Below are 15,380 nucleotides of genomic sequence, written 5' to 3'. Positions count from 1 at the left end.
GTTTTTCTGGGTTAATAGAAACACAATGTCTAGATCACTCAAAGGTAGAATACCCAGCTCTATTCTGATCTGGGAAGACCACATCTACAGTACCATATTCAATATGAGCACCACATTAAAACATCACAGCCAACATTTAAAAAATGACACATACGCTAGCAATTACCCAGACTGAAGCAACCAGAACACTCTGGCATCTGTGCTCTAGGGAAAATAAGTGAAGGGATAAAGATTAACTTTAAGAAATGAAGCCTAAGAAAAGTCATAATCCATTCACAACAGTTGCTATGTCAAAGAGAGGGTAGGCTTGCCCTTTGACGCTTCAGCAAAAAAAGGGTAAAAAAATCACAAGGAGCACATTTTGGTTTTACCTAAGAAAGAACTTTGTAACACCTATACCAATTTTAAAAGATGAGTCTTCTCTCTCAAGACAGGGTGAGTTTTCTCTTCCATGAAAAAAATATATATATATATATATGTTATATATAATATATTATATATTATATGTTATATATATTATATGTTATATATTATGTTATATATAATATATATTATATGTTATATATAATATATATTATGTTATATATAATATATATTATATGTTATATATAATATATATTATGTTATATATAATATATATTATATGATATATATTATATATCATATGTTATATATAATATATATCATATGATATATATTATATATCATATGATATATATTATATATTATATGATATATATTATATATTATATGTTATATATAATATATGTTATATAATATATGTTATATACAATATATTGTATATGTTATTATATAGTTATATGTTATATATATTATGTTATATATTGTATATTACATGTGTTATATATATTATATATTATGTATGTTATATATTATATATGTTATATATTATATATTATATACAATATATTGTATATGTTATATATATTATATATGTTATATGTTATATATATGTTATGTATTGTATATTACATATGTTATATATATTATATATTATGTGTTATATATTATATAACATATGTTATATATTATATATTATATATGTTATATATATTATATATATATTTTTTGAGATGGAGTCTCGCTCTGTCACCTAGGCTAGAGTGCAGTGGCGTGATCTTGGCTCACTGCAACCTCTGCCTCCCGGGTTCACTCGACTCTCCTGCCTCAACCTCCCTAGTAGCCGGGGCTACAGGTGCCCGCCACCACACCTGGCTCATTTTTTGTATTTTTAGTAGAGACGGGGTTTCACCATGTTAGCCAGGATGGTCTCCATCTCCTGACCTCATAAGCCACCCGCCTCAGCCTCCCGAAGTGCTGGGATTAGAGGCATGAGCCACCACGCCCAGCCCATGAAGTGAATTTTTGAAAGAAGCTGCATAATGTTTGTTGAGCTCAATAATAATGAGATTTTTTCTACTTCTAAAAAACAGAGACCTTTTGCTTGAGAATAAGCCATTTCATAAAATAGAATGTCATGTTGGTTTTTTAAACAGATTTTATATATCTTGAAATAATGCATGTAATTTATTTCTTATAATGATATACTTGTTCCCCAGAATGTATTCAGATAAACATAATGAGAAAATAGAATTCAAAGTGCAACAAACTTTCTGGAGTAGGGTCCAACAAATTGATCTTATACCTTATTCTATTTATTTGAAAACCTGAGGTTATTACCAATACCATAACAATAATTCCCTACCATATATATATATGTTAGTCCTTGTCTCATGATATCACTATGCCACATAATGTACAGTGTCATTTGAAATCTTAGAGGAATATCTACATACCTTGAATTAAGGGAATATAGATCTACTATAGGCACTATTTTTGGTGTCAATTTAATGAATTAAAATAGAAAGAGCAAAATATATAAATATATTACTATGTGTAACATAAACATGATTTGTACTTTTTTTTCTTCATTGGCCAAAAGATAAAATAAGACAAACATACTTTATAATTTTTAATGTTTTCCAGCCAGATAATTATCAATGGTTATGAACATTGGGAATGTTATTGAAACCATAAAAATATTTTTGCATTATCTGTTGCCTAAAGAGACTTAACATCCATTCTTTTCACTAACATCCAAAGCAGAAGCCCTTACTGTTCTAAACAAAATAAAATGGTAAAAACCAATCATGTGAACAAGGCAGAGTCCTGACTAGTATATAGAACAGTGACCCCTGTCCGGAAATCATTTTTAAAAAATAAAATGACAGTGATTTTTATAAAGTTAATGCTTCTATTTATTTATTTGTACAGTGTTAGTGGGTCTAAGTACAATTTTGTTATATTGATGTACTCAATAGTGGTGAAGTATGGCCTTTTAGTGTAGCCATCACCCAAATAGTGTACACCGTACCCATTAAGTAATTTATCTTCCCCCACCTGCTCCCAACCCTTCCACACTACTGAGTCTCCAATGTCCATTATTTTATACTCTGTGTCCATGTGTACACATTATTTAGCTACCACTTGTAAGTAAGAACATGCAGTATATTATTTTCTGTTTCTGAGTATTTCACTTAGGACAATGTCTCCAGTTTCATCCATGTTGCTGAAAAAGACATAATTTCATTCTTTTTATGGCTGAGTAGTATTCCCTGGTGTATATGTACCACATTTTATCTAACCATCTGTTGATAGACACTGAGGTTGATTCCATATGTTTGCCATTGTGAATAGTGCTGCAATAAATAAACATGCAAGCCAAGGTATTTTTTGATATAATGATTTCTTTTCCTTTGTGTATATACCCAGTAGTGGGATTGTTGGATCAAATGGTAGTTGTATTTTTACTCTTTGAGAAATTGCCATATTGTTTTCCATAGAGGTTACACCAATTTACATCCCCACCAATGGTGTGCAAGATTTCCCTTTTCTCAATGTCCTCACCAACATCTGTTATTTTTTGTCTTTTTAATGCCAGACATCCTGACTGGTATAAGATGGTATCTCATTGTGGTTTTAATATGCCTTTCTGATGACTGGCTGCATTGAACACTTTTTCATATGCTTGTTGTCCATTTTAATGCCTTCTTTTGAAAAATGTCCGCTCATATCCTTGCCTGCTTTTTAATGAAGTTATTTGTTTTTACATGTTGAGTCATTTGAGTACCTTGTAGAGTCTGGATATTAGTCCTTTGTCAGATGTATAGTTTGCAAATATTTTTTCCTATTCTGCAGGCTGTGTGTTCACGCTGTTGAGATATGTGTGTGTGTATATATATATGGACACACACACACAGCTTTTTAGTTTAATTAAGTCCCATTTGTCTATTTTTGGGTTTTGTTGCATTTGCTTGTTAGGTCTCACAGTGATTAGTAAGGTCAAACAGCAGACATTTTTCTAAGAATAGACATTAACTGTAAAATACATATATTCTCAATTTGTAAAGAAACCAATGATCCATTATATGCAACTATCAACTCTTCAAACATTGGTCTTTTAACAGGAATCAAACAATGTGTTATAATTCTAGGACAAGGAGCTAACTAAAGAACAGAAAGTTGTGATTTCCACTGTAGAGTATCATGTTAGAAAAGGAAAATATGGAGAAATAAAACCAGCATTTTATAAGTTAAATCTTAGGAAAACAAAATGAACCAACCAATGGAGGATGATTTGCAGGAAGAATTTTGATGAAACTGTACAATACCAGGAGGTGGAGGTTGCAGTGAGCAGAGATCACACCATTGCACTCCAGACTGGGCAACAGAGTGAGACTCCATCTCAAAAAAAAAAAAAAAAAAAAGAAAGAAAGAAAAGAAAAGGAAAGAAGGAAAGGAAACTGTACAATAACTTTTAGCAATGATCAAATTTCAAATCACTATCAACATCTTGATGACAAATATAAATGAAGCTCCTATTATATGCAAGCATTATACTAAGTACAAGAATAAAAAGAGATTTAAGAAATGTTCCCTGTTGCTATTGAGCTTAAAGTTTAGCAATCAGGGACAGGAGATCAACTTCACCATGCACGCTACAATTAATCTGTGATGGCTTTCTGGAGTGTTGCATAGTAAAACAATCTGATCTAATACCAAAGCTTTACAGAAAAGGAGACCATTTTTTATTTATTGAAGTTTGCCATTGCCATGGGAGAGAGTAGTGAACTGCATGGATAGGCAGCATGCGTAATGATTAAAAGCACAGGCTCTCGAGCCAGGGAGCCTGGCATAAGAAAAAATAAGCATAGGCTGGGTGTGGTGGCTCACGCCTGTAATCCCAGCACTTTGGGAGGCTGAGGAGGGCAGATCATGAGGTCAGAAGATCAAAACCATCCTGGCCAACATGGTGAAACCCCGTCTCTACTAAAAATACAAAAATTAGCCAGACATGGCAGCACACGCCTATAGTCCCAGCTACTCAGGAGGCTGAGACAGGAGAATCACCTGAACCCAGGAGGTGGAGGCTGCAGTGAGCTGAGATTGTGCCACTGCACTCCAGTCTGGGCGACAGAGCAGGACTCTGTCTCAAAAAAAAAAAAAAAAAAAAGAAAGAAAAAGAAAACGTAAGTATACTAGCATGTACTAATAATTACAGACATGTTCATGTTTATATACAGACATATATAGAGGGTGAGATAAGGATAAACCTATTGCAATGTGTGTGATGTACAGATAGACGATAGATCACACCAAGATAAATTAATTTGCACCAGAACACTAATGGAAGATTTCAACGAAAACATGGAAACTAAACTGGTGTAGAGGAAAGGCTAGAAACTAAATAAGTGAAGTGGAAATTACAAACCAAGTGGGCCAGGCTGAGTAACAGCAATAGTTAGGCTACTCCAAAGCAAAGCCATATGATCTGTGATTTTCATTTTTATGACAGACCACTTTGGATGAAGTAGAAGTTTCTTAAAAGAGCCATGGAGAAGACAGAATGCAAGGACAAGGACTGTGGACACTTTTTTATGCTTGGACTTTATTTTGTACTTTAGGGAATAACAGATATTTCTTGAACACAGAAGTGTTATATTTTAGCGCGGCTCTCAAGGGTTTATAGGAGACCTTCCAGAAGTTCAAAGAAAAAAGCAGTCACCTAAATAGAATTCTTGCACATATCTTCCAAAAATTTATACAAAACGAGAAAACGATATGTTTTGCCAAAATAACAAGAATTTGAGTTTAAAAATGGGAGGAGAGAAAGGGGCAGCCAGGACCTGGTGCTTCAGGGCTTTCTATTACTCCAGACTTCATTCAGAAACTGCAGACTCAATTGGTTACTTCTGGCAAATGGGCCACAACAGCACACATCAAATATAGTATGTGTTGCATCCATGAGGAATTATTAGCCGTTGGCTCTTGGCTCTGAGTTGACACTAATTTCCAGGAACTCAAAATCCCACCCACTTTTGTTCACAAGAGTGAGGAATTTGGAGCTCAAATATATTTGAAGTCTTGCAAATAGTTTACCTTACAATGAGTCCAGTAGACCTGAGGGACCATTCTGAGTTTTATTTTTTGGAAAAGCGTATTACACAACTGTCAACATCTCTAAGCTGTGTGTGTGTGTGTGTGTGTGTGTGTGGACTGCTAGAGTAGAAATGGCCAAGAGCAAATGCCCCTCCAAGAACCCTGAATAAAACAAAACTAACATGATATACATTTCTGGAGAATTCTCAAGATTAATTCCAAAAGTAAAGAACTGAAAGATGCAGTCATGTTAGTTCTTATCATATCCCTGCATAAGTCAACTCTGGCTAATACAGGGGCTTAATGGATCCTGGAGGGTGACAGTAGATTCTCATAAACTTAATTAGAGAGTGATGCCAATCACAGCTCCCATTGCAAATATGGAATCTTTACTGGTGCAAATTATCAGAGGCCTTGCACCTGGTATCTATTTATGCACCTATTGAGCTATTGAGTGCTTTTTTCCCGATATCAATTAATAAACACAATCAGAAGAAGATGACCAATGACCTTTATCTGACTGGAGCAATAGTACTCCCTCTCTGTCTTATCTCAAGGTTATTTATATTCTCTTCATCTGTTACAATATAGGCTACAGAGACATCTCATATTCCAGAAAACATCATGCTAGCATTTTACATGATTGAATTCATGCTAATTAGACCTGATGACACAGTATTCTGCTAGTAAGACACACACATGTTGGCAGGTGATAGACAATTCCCATGAAAAGACAGGGGCCTACCATGTTAATAAAATTGCTAAAGTTCAGTGTTCTAAAACATGTCAAAATATCCTTTGTGAAAGATAAGTAGCAATAGGGCCAGGTATGGTGGCTCGTGCCTGTAATCCCAGCACTTTGGGAGGCTGAGGCAGGTGGATTACTTGAGGCCAGGAGTTTGAGACAAGCCCGGCCAATATGGTGAAACCTCGTCTCTCCTAAAAATACAAAAAGTAGCCGGGTGTGGTGGTGCATGCCTGTAATCCCAGCTACCAGGGAAGCTGAGGAAGGAGAATCACTTGAGCCTGGGAGGTGGAGGCTGCAGTGAGCTGAGATTGTGACACTGCACTCCAGCCTGGGTGACAGAGGGAGACCCTGGAAGGAAGGAAGGGAAGGGGAGAGGAGGGGAAGGGAAGGGAGGAGAAAGGAGGGCAAGGGAGGGGAGGGAAGGAGAGGGGAGGGGAGCGCAGGGGAGGGAGGAGAGGGTGAGGGGAGGGCAGGGGAGGGGAAAGAAGGGGAGGACAAAGGAGTGGAGGGGAGGGGAGGGCAGGGGAGGGAGGGGAAGGGGAGGGGAGGTCAGGGGAGGTCAGGGGAGGGAGGGGAGGGGAGAGGAAGGGAGGTGGAGGGAGGGGAAGGGGAGGGGAGGGAGGAAGGGAGGGAGTGAGGGAAGATGTAGCAAGGTAATGTTTTTAGTGTTGCTGAACATGTTGAACATAAAAGATTAATTCCAAAATGTCCATCTCACTAAACGTTTTAATATCTTCCTTTATGGCAGAGGTCAGTAAACTTTTTCTATAAAAGGTCAGATAGTAATTTTTTTTTAGAGAGACAGGGTCTCACTCTGTCATCCATGCTAGAATGCAATGGTACAATCACAACTCACTGTGTCTTCCAGCTCCTGGGCTCAAATTATCTTCCACCTCATCATCCTGAGAATCTAGGACTACAGACATGTATCACCACACTCAGCTTTTTAAAATGTTTTTTAGAGATGGGGTCTTGCTGTGCTTCCCAGGCTGGTCTTGAACTCCTGAACTCAAGTGATCCTCCTGTCTCAACCTGTCAGAGTGTTGGGACTACATGCACCACTCTGAGTCCCAGATAGTAAATATTTTATATTTGTGCACTATAGTCTCTTTTTTGCAACTATTCAACTATGCCATTGTAGCATGAAACAGCCATGGACAAGTAATGAATGGGGTGTCTCTGTTCCACTGAAACTTCATTGAGAGTGAGTAAACCATATTTGGCCTAAGAGTCATAGTTTGTTGAACCTGTCTTTATGGTGTGCCAAAAATTTCAGTATCCAAGCTTGTTGATTGTAGAGTCTATGTTTAAATTAACTAGTTCCTCCCATTGGGAGAAACAGAAGCCGACCAAAAGAGAACTGTATCCCTAGTCTCACCTAATGGGGTGCACTATCATAAAATGTAGAGACCGCATTTCAATACTTAATATTCTGTAACTATGGAGTATTAAATCTCAAGATTTTTTTTTTTTTTTTTTTTGAGAAGGAGTCTTGCTCTGTTGCCCAGGCTGGAGTGCAGTGGTGCGATGTCGGCTCACTGCAAACTCCGCCTCCCGGGTTCAAGCCATTCTCCTGCCCCAGCCCCCCCCGAGTAGCTGGGACTACAGACACCCACCACCACACCCAGCTAATTTTTTTTTTTTTGTATTTTTAGTAGAGACGGGGTTTCACAGTGTTAGCCAGGATGGTATCGATCTCCTGACCTCGTGATCTGCCCGCCTTGACCTCCCAAAGTGCTGGGATTACAGGCATGAGCCACCACGCCCGGCCTCAAGATTCTTAACGTACAACATTCTTACAGAATAAAAGCATGCACACACACATAGAGAGACAATACTGTGCTATTCAACATTGAGGAATACACTTCCAAGACATTTCCTCAAAATTTCAGTTCCTTCTGCTTTACAGCAAGGTGGACCTTTTAAAAAGGAACTTTACTTCCTGAGATGACACTATAAAATATGCTGCGACTTTGCAAAAGCAATAATAATTTCTCTTCAATTTCATGAATACAAACAGGCAATTTCTATAATCCTTCACGCCCTCACTACCCTCCAAATAAAATTGTTCTCATATTCATTGTTAGTAATTTAACAATTACATTCAATGAGTATTTAGTTGATTGTGTTTCCTTTGTTATCTTGCTTATCAGTGTTGTCCAACTTAAACTACAAGTACAGATCAGATCTGAAACTTACATCTCTTTATATCGCATTGACTGCAACTGATACTTAGAATACTGCTCAGAACGATTATTAATACAGACTAGGTGATTGTGATTTTCTGTGGCAGGGACCTCTCAACATGACAAAAGGGGAAGACAGGTCATTATTCAACCTCTAGACAGACCTTACAATACTTCAATCATTCCCAGACAGGTAAGAAATCCCTTTCCCCATTTCTGCTGGGGATATTGTGGCTTTCTTATTACTTCTTCTTTAAAGGCAATAATTTCTCTGATGCACTCCATGTCATCATTACTGTCTGAGTAGTGATTTCTTTAGTTAATCACTCATTGGTTATATTTCTTTAGTGTAACAGAGAAATAACTCCAATCCAATGCAGAAATAAAAACTTGTTTACTTTTATTTGGGTTAAAACAATATACGTTTTTGTCTAATTCTGATTGTTTGAAAGAAACAACCGAGAAAGAGGTCCTATGAGATCGGGTTTGTGCTAAATAAGAAAATTATGAACAAGAATTCTACTTCCTGTTAATGCATCACGTTCAATTCCGTTTATACATATAAGGCTAACAATTTGTTACTCATACCGATCTACTCTACGTAATGCTAAGGAACCCTTGCTATTATAACTCATTTTGTTTTTGATTTAATGATTTTTTTCCAACCAAGTATCGAGAGTCAAAAATCTTTTGTCCCTGCTCCTTTTATTTATGATTTGGGTGATTTAGGCAAATCACTCTCCCTGCCCAGGACTTACCTTTCCACCTACAAAAGGAAGAGATTGTTGTAAATGTCCATGTTATGATACTTTCTAAATTCATGAACTCCCTTCACTAATATTAAACTACTTGTTCTTTCCTGCAAAGTTTATCATGTCTGCGTATAAAATGAGAAGAATTATTTAAGTTGTGATTAACATAATCATTGTTTTGCCTTGTTTTTCTTACTCGAAGATAATTCATTTAGATCCTTCACTGCATTCTGTTTTTTTAATAATGTAAGGATTTACTCAACAATGCTGACCATATCATCTCCTTGCACTTCTTTCATTTCCATAATATTACATTATATCTCTAACTATGACTATTTTTTAAGTCTCTTCTTCTGGCTCCTAATCTACTCTTCCTGTAAGTACCTGTATTTTTCTGGGTTCTGGCTTAAATTTTATTTTCTATTCCTTGCACACAATCCTCCTGGCAGGCCTTTCACGTGGTTTGGAGTGCGGTCTGCACACTGACAACTGCAAATCTGCATCTCTGGCCCTCATCTCTCCGGAGTCACACCTCTCCTGTTGCGGTGCTTAGTGTCTCACATCAGATGTGCTGTAAGACACGTAAACTACTCCCTGTCTGATGCTGAACTCATCATATTTTCCCAAATTTCTGCTTCTTCTCTATTGTCCCTATTCTTATTAAATGTCATGTCATTCATCCAACTGCTCGAGCCAGAATCCTGGAAGTCATCTTTAAATCTTCCCACTTTCAATTCCTGCATCCATTGAATTTCTCTGAAAAATGTGTCAGTGTGATAAGTTAAAAGTTAAATAGCTTTGCTTATTTTTTTTTCACAGTGTAACAGACTCCTGTGGACAAAACCCCAACCCAAACAGAACATAAGATTTGGCCCATGTGAATACAAATTCATGAATTCATTTCAAAAAGGTACAATTTACATTTATATAGTATATTCTCTGAATTTGAAATTTACTTCCAGACTAAAACTAGCGAGGTGATCTGAGTGAACGCTTATTCTGTTCTTTGGCTATATTTTCTTTAGTTAGTTTTACAGGGAAATCAATCCAATCCAATCCAGAAGTAAATACGTATTCCCTTTTATTTAAGTTAAACAGTATACATTTTGGTCTAACTGGTTGTTTAGAAGAAACAATCCAGGAAGAGGTCGTATGAGATCAAGGTCTGTGCCAAATAAGAAAGTTATGAACGAAAGTTCTACTTCCTGTTAATGCATCACATTCAATTCCCTTTATACTTATAAGGCTAATAATTTGTTACTCATACTGATCTACTCTATGTCACGTGACTGCAGAAATGGAAACAATTACAAATGAAGCTTTGGACTATGACACCATCTCCCTTTACCCTGTTTGAACTTTTATTTTTCCTCCACTTTTTGTTAAGTGACCTCATCAGAAAAATATTTACAATAGTTCCTTCCCCCTAATTCGGAGTTGTACTTACCTGCTCTCATCCAAGGTCCAGAATTATTAAATGAAAAATTCCAGAGATAAACAACTGACACGTTTTAAATTTTCTGCTATTCTGAGTAACATGACAAAATCTCATGTCATCCTCCTCCACCCTTCATCCCTCCCACGAGGTGAATCACCACTTTGCCCAGCATGTCTACCCTGAACACGACCTGGTCGTTAGGTATTTAGCAGCCATCGCAAATAGATCGACTGCTGTGGTATCACAGTGCTTGTGTTCAAATAACCCTTATTGAACTTAATTGTTTATTAGTTTATTCATGATTATTGCTAATCTCTTGCCGTGCCTACCTAATAAAATAAATTGAATCATAGGTGTGTGTATAGAGAGACCAAAACATACTATATATAGGGTTTAGTACTACCCTAAGTTTTAAACATCCACTGTGGGTGTTGGAACATATCCCCTGAACATAAGGGGTGACTACTGTACATAAGAACATAAATAAAAATGCTTTTAAGTATACAAATTGCAGCCACAATGAACAGAATTTTGGATTTATTTTTATTTTTATTTTTTACAAAGTCTTACTATGTGCCAATGTTAGGTACTCTTCTAAGTACTTTATAAGTATTGATTTATTTATTCCTAAAAATAAGCATATAAAATAGATGCTTATAAAGTCTGTAAAATGGAATATTGCCCATTTTAGATATTAAGAAATCAACTACCAGAGAAGCAAATTACCTAACATCACATTACCAATAAGTAATTTGGCTGGAATTAAAACCCAGGTGGTCTGGCTGTAGAGTACATGCACTTTATCACAATGCCAGAATCACAGCACTGTTTAACCTGACTTCAATCGGATTTAAGGTCAAACAACACATGCTATATTTTAGGGGAAGTTTTCAGGAAAGCCAATGTATTTTATATGAATTTTTGTGTGTACAGTGAAGCAGTATAAAAATCTTCACAACCTGCATGCAAATCTCCTTTCTACTAGACACAGGAGAAATGGTTTCCCTGCTATCCAAGTATCTGTCAGAAATTAGTTCCTGGAAGATATACTTCTGTCTTAAATTTAACTTCAACAAGATCAAGGTGATATTCAAAGATGAGAAGATTATTTAGAAGTGACTCAGGACATAATAGAACTAGACATGAAATATAGAAGAGGTTTCTGAAAAGCCTCACAAAAAAGAGAAATTTTGTCCTAAAAAATAAAAATATTTGGAAACACAGAACACAGAATACATGTATTAATGATGTGCAAAGAAATCTGTGGCACTACATGATATGTTCATAGGCAGAACCTGGCCAGGTGGTTTTAAATGAATCTGGGGAATATTTTTATAAATATCAAGTGTGTTTGGATGGGCTGTGAAAGACATCCACATGAGAACATTTATGTGAAGGCAATTATTTTAACATATGTTCTTAATGTCAGCACATACCCCAAATCAAAAGAATCTTAGGGATGATATTCCAATTTTGAAATTTTGAAAATTATTTCTTACTCTTAAATAGTTAGTTTAGATTTCTCTACACCACTTTACAAGAGCTAGGATCGTTTTCTAAAATGTAAGCAAGACCATCATTTAAGTAATAATATGCTGAAGGAAGGAAATTGGTAGAATGTAATTACACATACATACTTAAAATTAATTATAAAATATTAACTAAAATTACTGTGATATCATTATGGTTAAGCAGTAAGGTTTGTACAAACTGGAGAGGTAGAATTGCATGGCTTTTATTTACTTGATGTTTTCTTTTAGCTAATATCTTTGCTAAATAAACAAAGTTAGCTAAACTAGACACTTTAGATGTACTTCTTTTCGTTTTTTTTGTTTGTTTGTTTGTTTTTGTGTGTTTGGTTTTTTGAGACAGAGTCTCGCTTTGTTGCCCAGGCTGGAGTGAAGTGGTGCGATCTTGGCTCACTGCAACCTCAACCTCCCGGGTTCAAGCAATTCTCCTGCCTCAGCCTCCCGAGTAGCTAGGATTAGAGGCATGTGCCACTACACCGGACTAATTTTTATATTTTTAGTAGAGACGGGAATACCATGGCACTTTAGATGTATTTCATCTCTATCAAATAAATTTTAAAAGAGCCAGATTAAAATCATTCAGTTCCTTACTGATAGCTTGTAAAATCACCCAAACTCTCTTGTTATTTCTACTCAGAGACTCATTACCATCTCCTAAATGTCACTCTTGTAATTTCTGTAACTGCCACCAAATGGTTGGTGGCTCCTTGCTTTACACACAAAAACACAGATGACTTATTTTTCTGTCTGTATGAGAGCTTAAGAATAGTGAGACAAGCTCACTATTGATTCAGCATTGCCTATCTTATGAAATATAATAATACCAAGTTAATAAACTGCAAGGTTTGACTAAACTCAGGCATAAATTTAACTCAGAAATATCTCTGCAGAGAATTTCAAAATAGATACCTAATTTTAGTTAAATATTATTGACCATCAATAATTATTTAGATTACCACTAAATAAGGCTATACTCAGTAAGTTTGCTGGTAATTTATTCACACTTCTTTTAAGGAACTGATCACTTACACTGTGATCACTCTGAAAGCAACCTCTTAGATCACCTGATATTACATTCTCTTAACAGGCCTTGTGAGAAGGCTTGGCATATAGCAGATTCCTAACACATATGTTTGTTCAACCCAACATTTATTAAGTGTGTGGTACTGGCCTGACCCACTTTCTAAGCATAGGACCACTGAAGTGTCTCCGTCTTCAAAAAGCTGTCTAACACAGCCTATCGATATAGTGTAATAGATCTATTTTCTGCAGGACTATGCATAAAATCCTGGGAGAGTACATAGAAAGTACATCTACCTAAGGCAGAAGAACAGGCAGCACCTTCAAGTACTTCTGTTACATGGGCAATAGGATGAAGAAGTGAGCAGCATGAGCAAAGTTATTGAAGTATGCTAGAAAATAATGCTCAAGGTCTTAAGCAATTTAATAGGTAAAGGTTAGAGTACATGAGGGTGGTAGAAGGTCAGAATAGAGTTATAGAAGAGGCATGGTAAAAGACTGGAGCAGTGGATCCAGACAAATTTTGCACAATATTGAAGAGTTTGATTTTTATCAGGAAGTCTAGGAGAATTAGCTAAAAGGCATTAAGTAGTGAAGTAATAGGATTGATTGGGACTTTGGAAATAACTTCTCGACAACAATGTATAGATTGAATTGAAGGAGACTGTAGGATGCTACAGAGACTCTGGAAAAAGCAGCCTAAATTACAGCAATGGCAATAGGAAAGGAAAAAGAACATATTAAGAGATACCGTGGAAATGAACTATATGAGATCTCAAACTGGTTATGAAAACAGTGAGGGAATGGAAGAGCCACTTATATCTCCCAAGAGTATGACTTGGTCAACTGCGTGGACCCTGGTGCCATTCACCAGAGTAAAGGATATGAGAAGAGGAGTAAATTCAGCAGAGGGCAAGAGAAAAAAGGAAACCTTGATGATATCTCAGTGTGCTGAGTTCAGTTAGGCCTTGATAACTTCTGGAAACAAGGGACAGCATAGAACAGTGGTTAAGAGAGCAGTGTTTCTGTAAAATGGGGTGATTATAATAGTTCCTGTCCCCTAGGAATACTGTGAGTAGTATATGTAGGAAAGGCTCACGAGACATGGCCTGATGTGTAAATGTTCTCTAATCATATTATTCATTGTTGTTGTCTGTATCCAATTGGAGACACCCAGTCAATTTAAAGTGGGTGCTAAAGCCCAGTGGAGAAATATGGCCCAGAGAAAGAAATTTTGGAATAATCCTCAAGGTGGATAGTGTTTCTCAACCATAATTGTTCTTCAGAATCATCGGAGCATTAGATAATGCTGTTACCTAGGCTTTTTTCCTGGTAATTCTGAACAGCCAGCAATGAAAACACAGTTCAGATGGAGGTGGAAGATGGAATCATTTACCAGGTGAGATCTCCCAGGAAGAGTGAGCAGAATAAGGGATCTTTATATTCAAGGTTTCCAGACCAAAGTCATCTTTCTAACAAGACCAACTCTTTCTCCAGAATCCATGGTTTTATTTATCATAATAGGACTGTGTGTGGTCCAATGTGAACCACAACATCATGGAAAAATCTGGAGATCCTGGAGTCTATTGTTTTGCACTGCCTTTAATGAGATGTGGGGCCAGGGGAATGCTTGACAAAGCCAGTGACTATTCCTGCTGTCAATCATGCTGAGGCAAATTTCAAGCAGGCCTTGAGAATGCTGGGGCTGGAAAAGATTCTTTTGGGTTTGGTTCTTTCATTGAGGGTGAGCTACTCTTGGATATGTGAAAACAGGCTAAAAACTATAGCAGCACCATTAGGCTGGTGGCTACAGTGGGGGTAGAGGCTCTAGCCTCAAAATGGTGCTTTGAACCACTGGGCTTACAGGCAAATGGGAAGAATGATGACCATTTCTTAGGATACGAGAATAGCAGGGCACACTCCTAACATTTGAAGACTATTGTTGGCTCCAGGTGAATAAGACAACTATCCTAACAGCCTCTTTTGACCTGGACCTCCAGGGGCCCACAGGTAAATGACAAATCTATACTTTTTAAGAAGTGGTGCCAAGAAGACCTATAGAATCAGGTCTACTGTGACATGGAGCCAGCACAGCTGAGCATAATAGCGGAAAAGAGAGACTCCCTCATCTGTTCCACTCCCAAATTACAGGTTATCTGTAGCAGCATCTTTGGAGGCCACAGACCTTCCCGCTATGCTATAGGAAGTGCACCATACTTGTGAATTTCAACTGAAACACATAGTGGA

At 36.8% G+C, this 15,380-nt stretch overlaps 1 annotated feature.

The window, feature by feature from the left end:
* Positions 9,413-10,612: an enhancer, noted in NCBI's record as "P300/CBP strongly-dependent group 1 enhancer chr7:144880176-144881375 (GRCh37/hg19 assembly coordinates)". NCBI's record gives its function as "activates an origin of replication core promoter dependent on BRD2, BRD4, P300/CBP, MED14 and CDK7 cofactors, with strong dependence on P300/CBP, by STARR-seq in HCT116 cells {active_cell/tissue: HCT116}" and the evidence as "EXISTENCE:reporter gene assay evidence [ECO:0000049][PMID:35650434]".

The sequence above is a fragment of the Homo sapiens genome, chromosome 7 (genome assembly GCF_000001405.40).
Source record: "Homo sapiens chromosome 7, GRCh38.p14 Primary Assembly".
NCBI lineage: Eukaryota > Metazoa > Chordata > Mammalia > Primates > Hominidae > Homo > Homo sapiens.
Note: the sequence above shows the minus strand (reverse complement) of the source record. Positions and strands in the feature narration are given on the sequence as shown.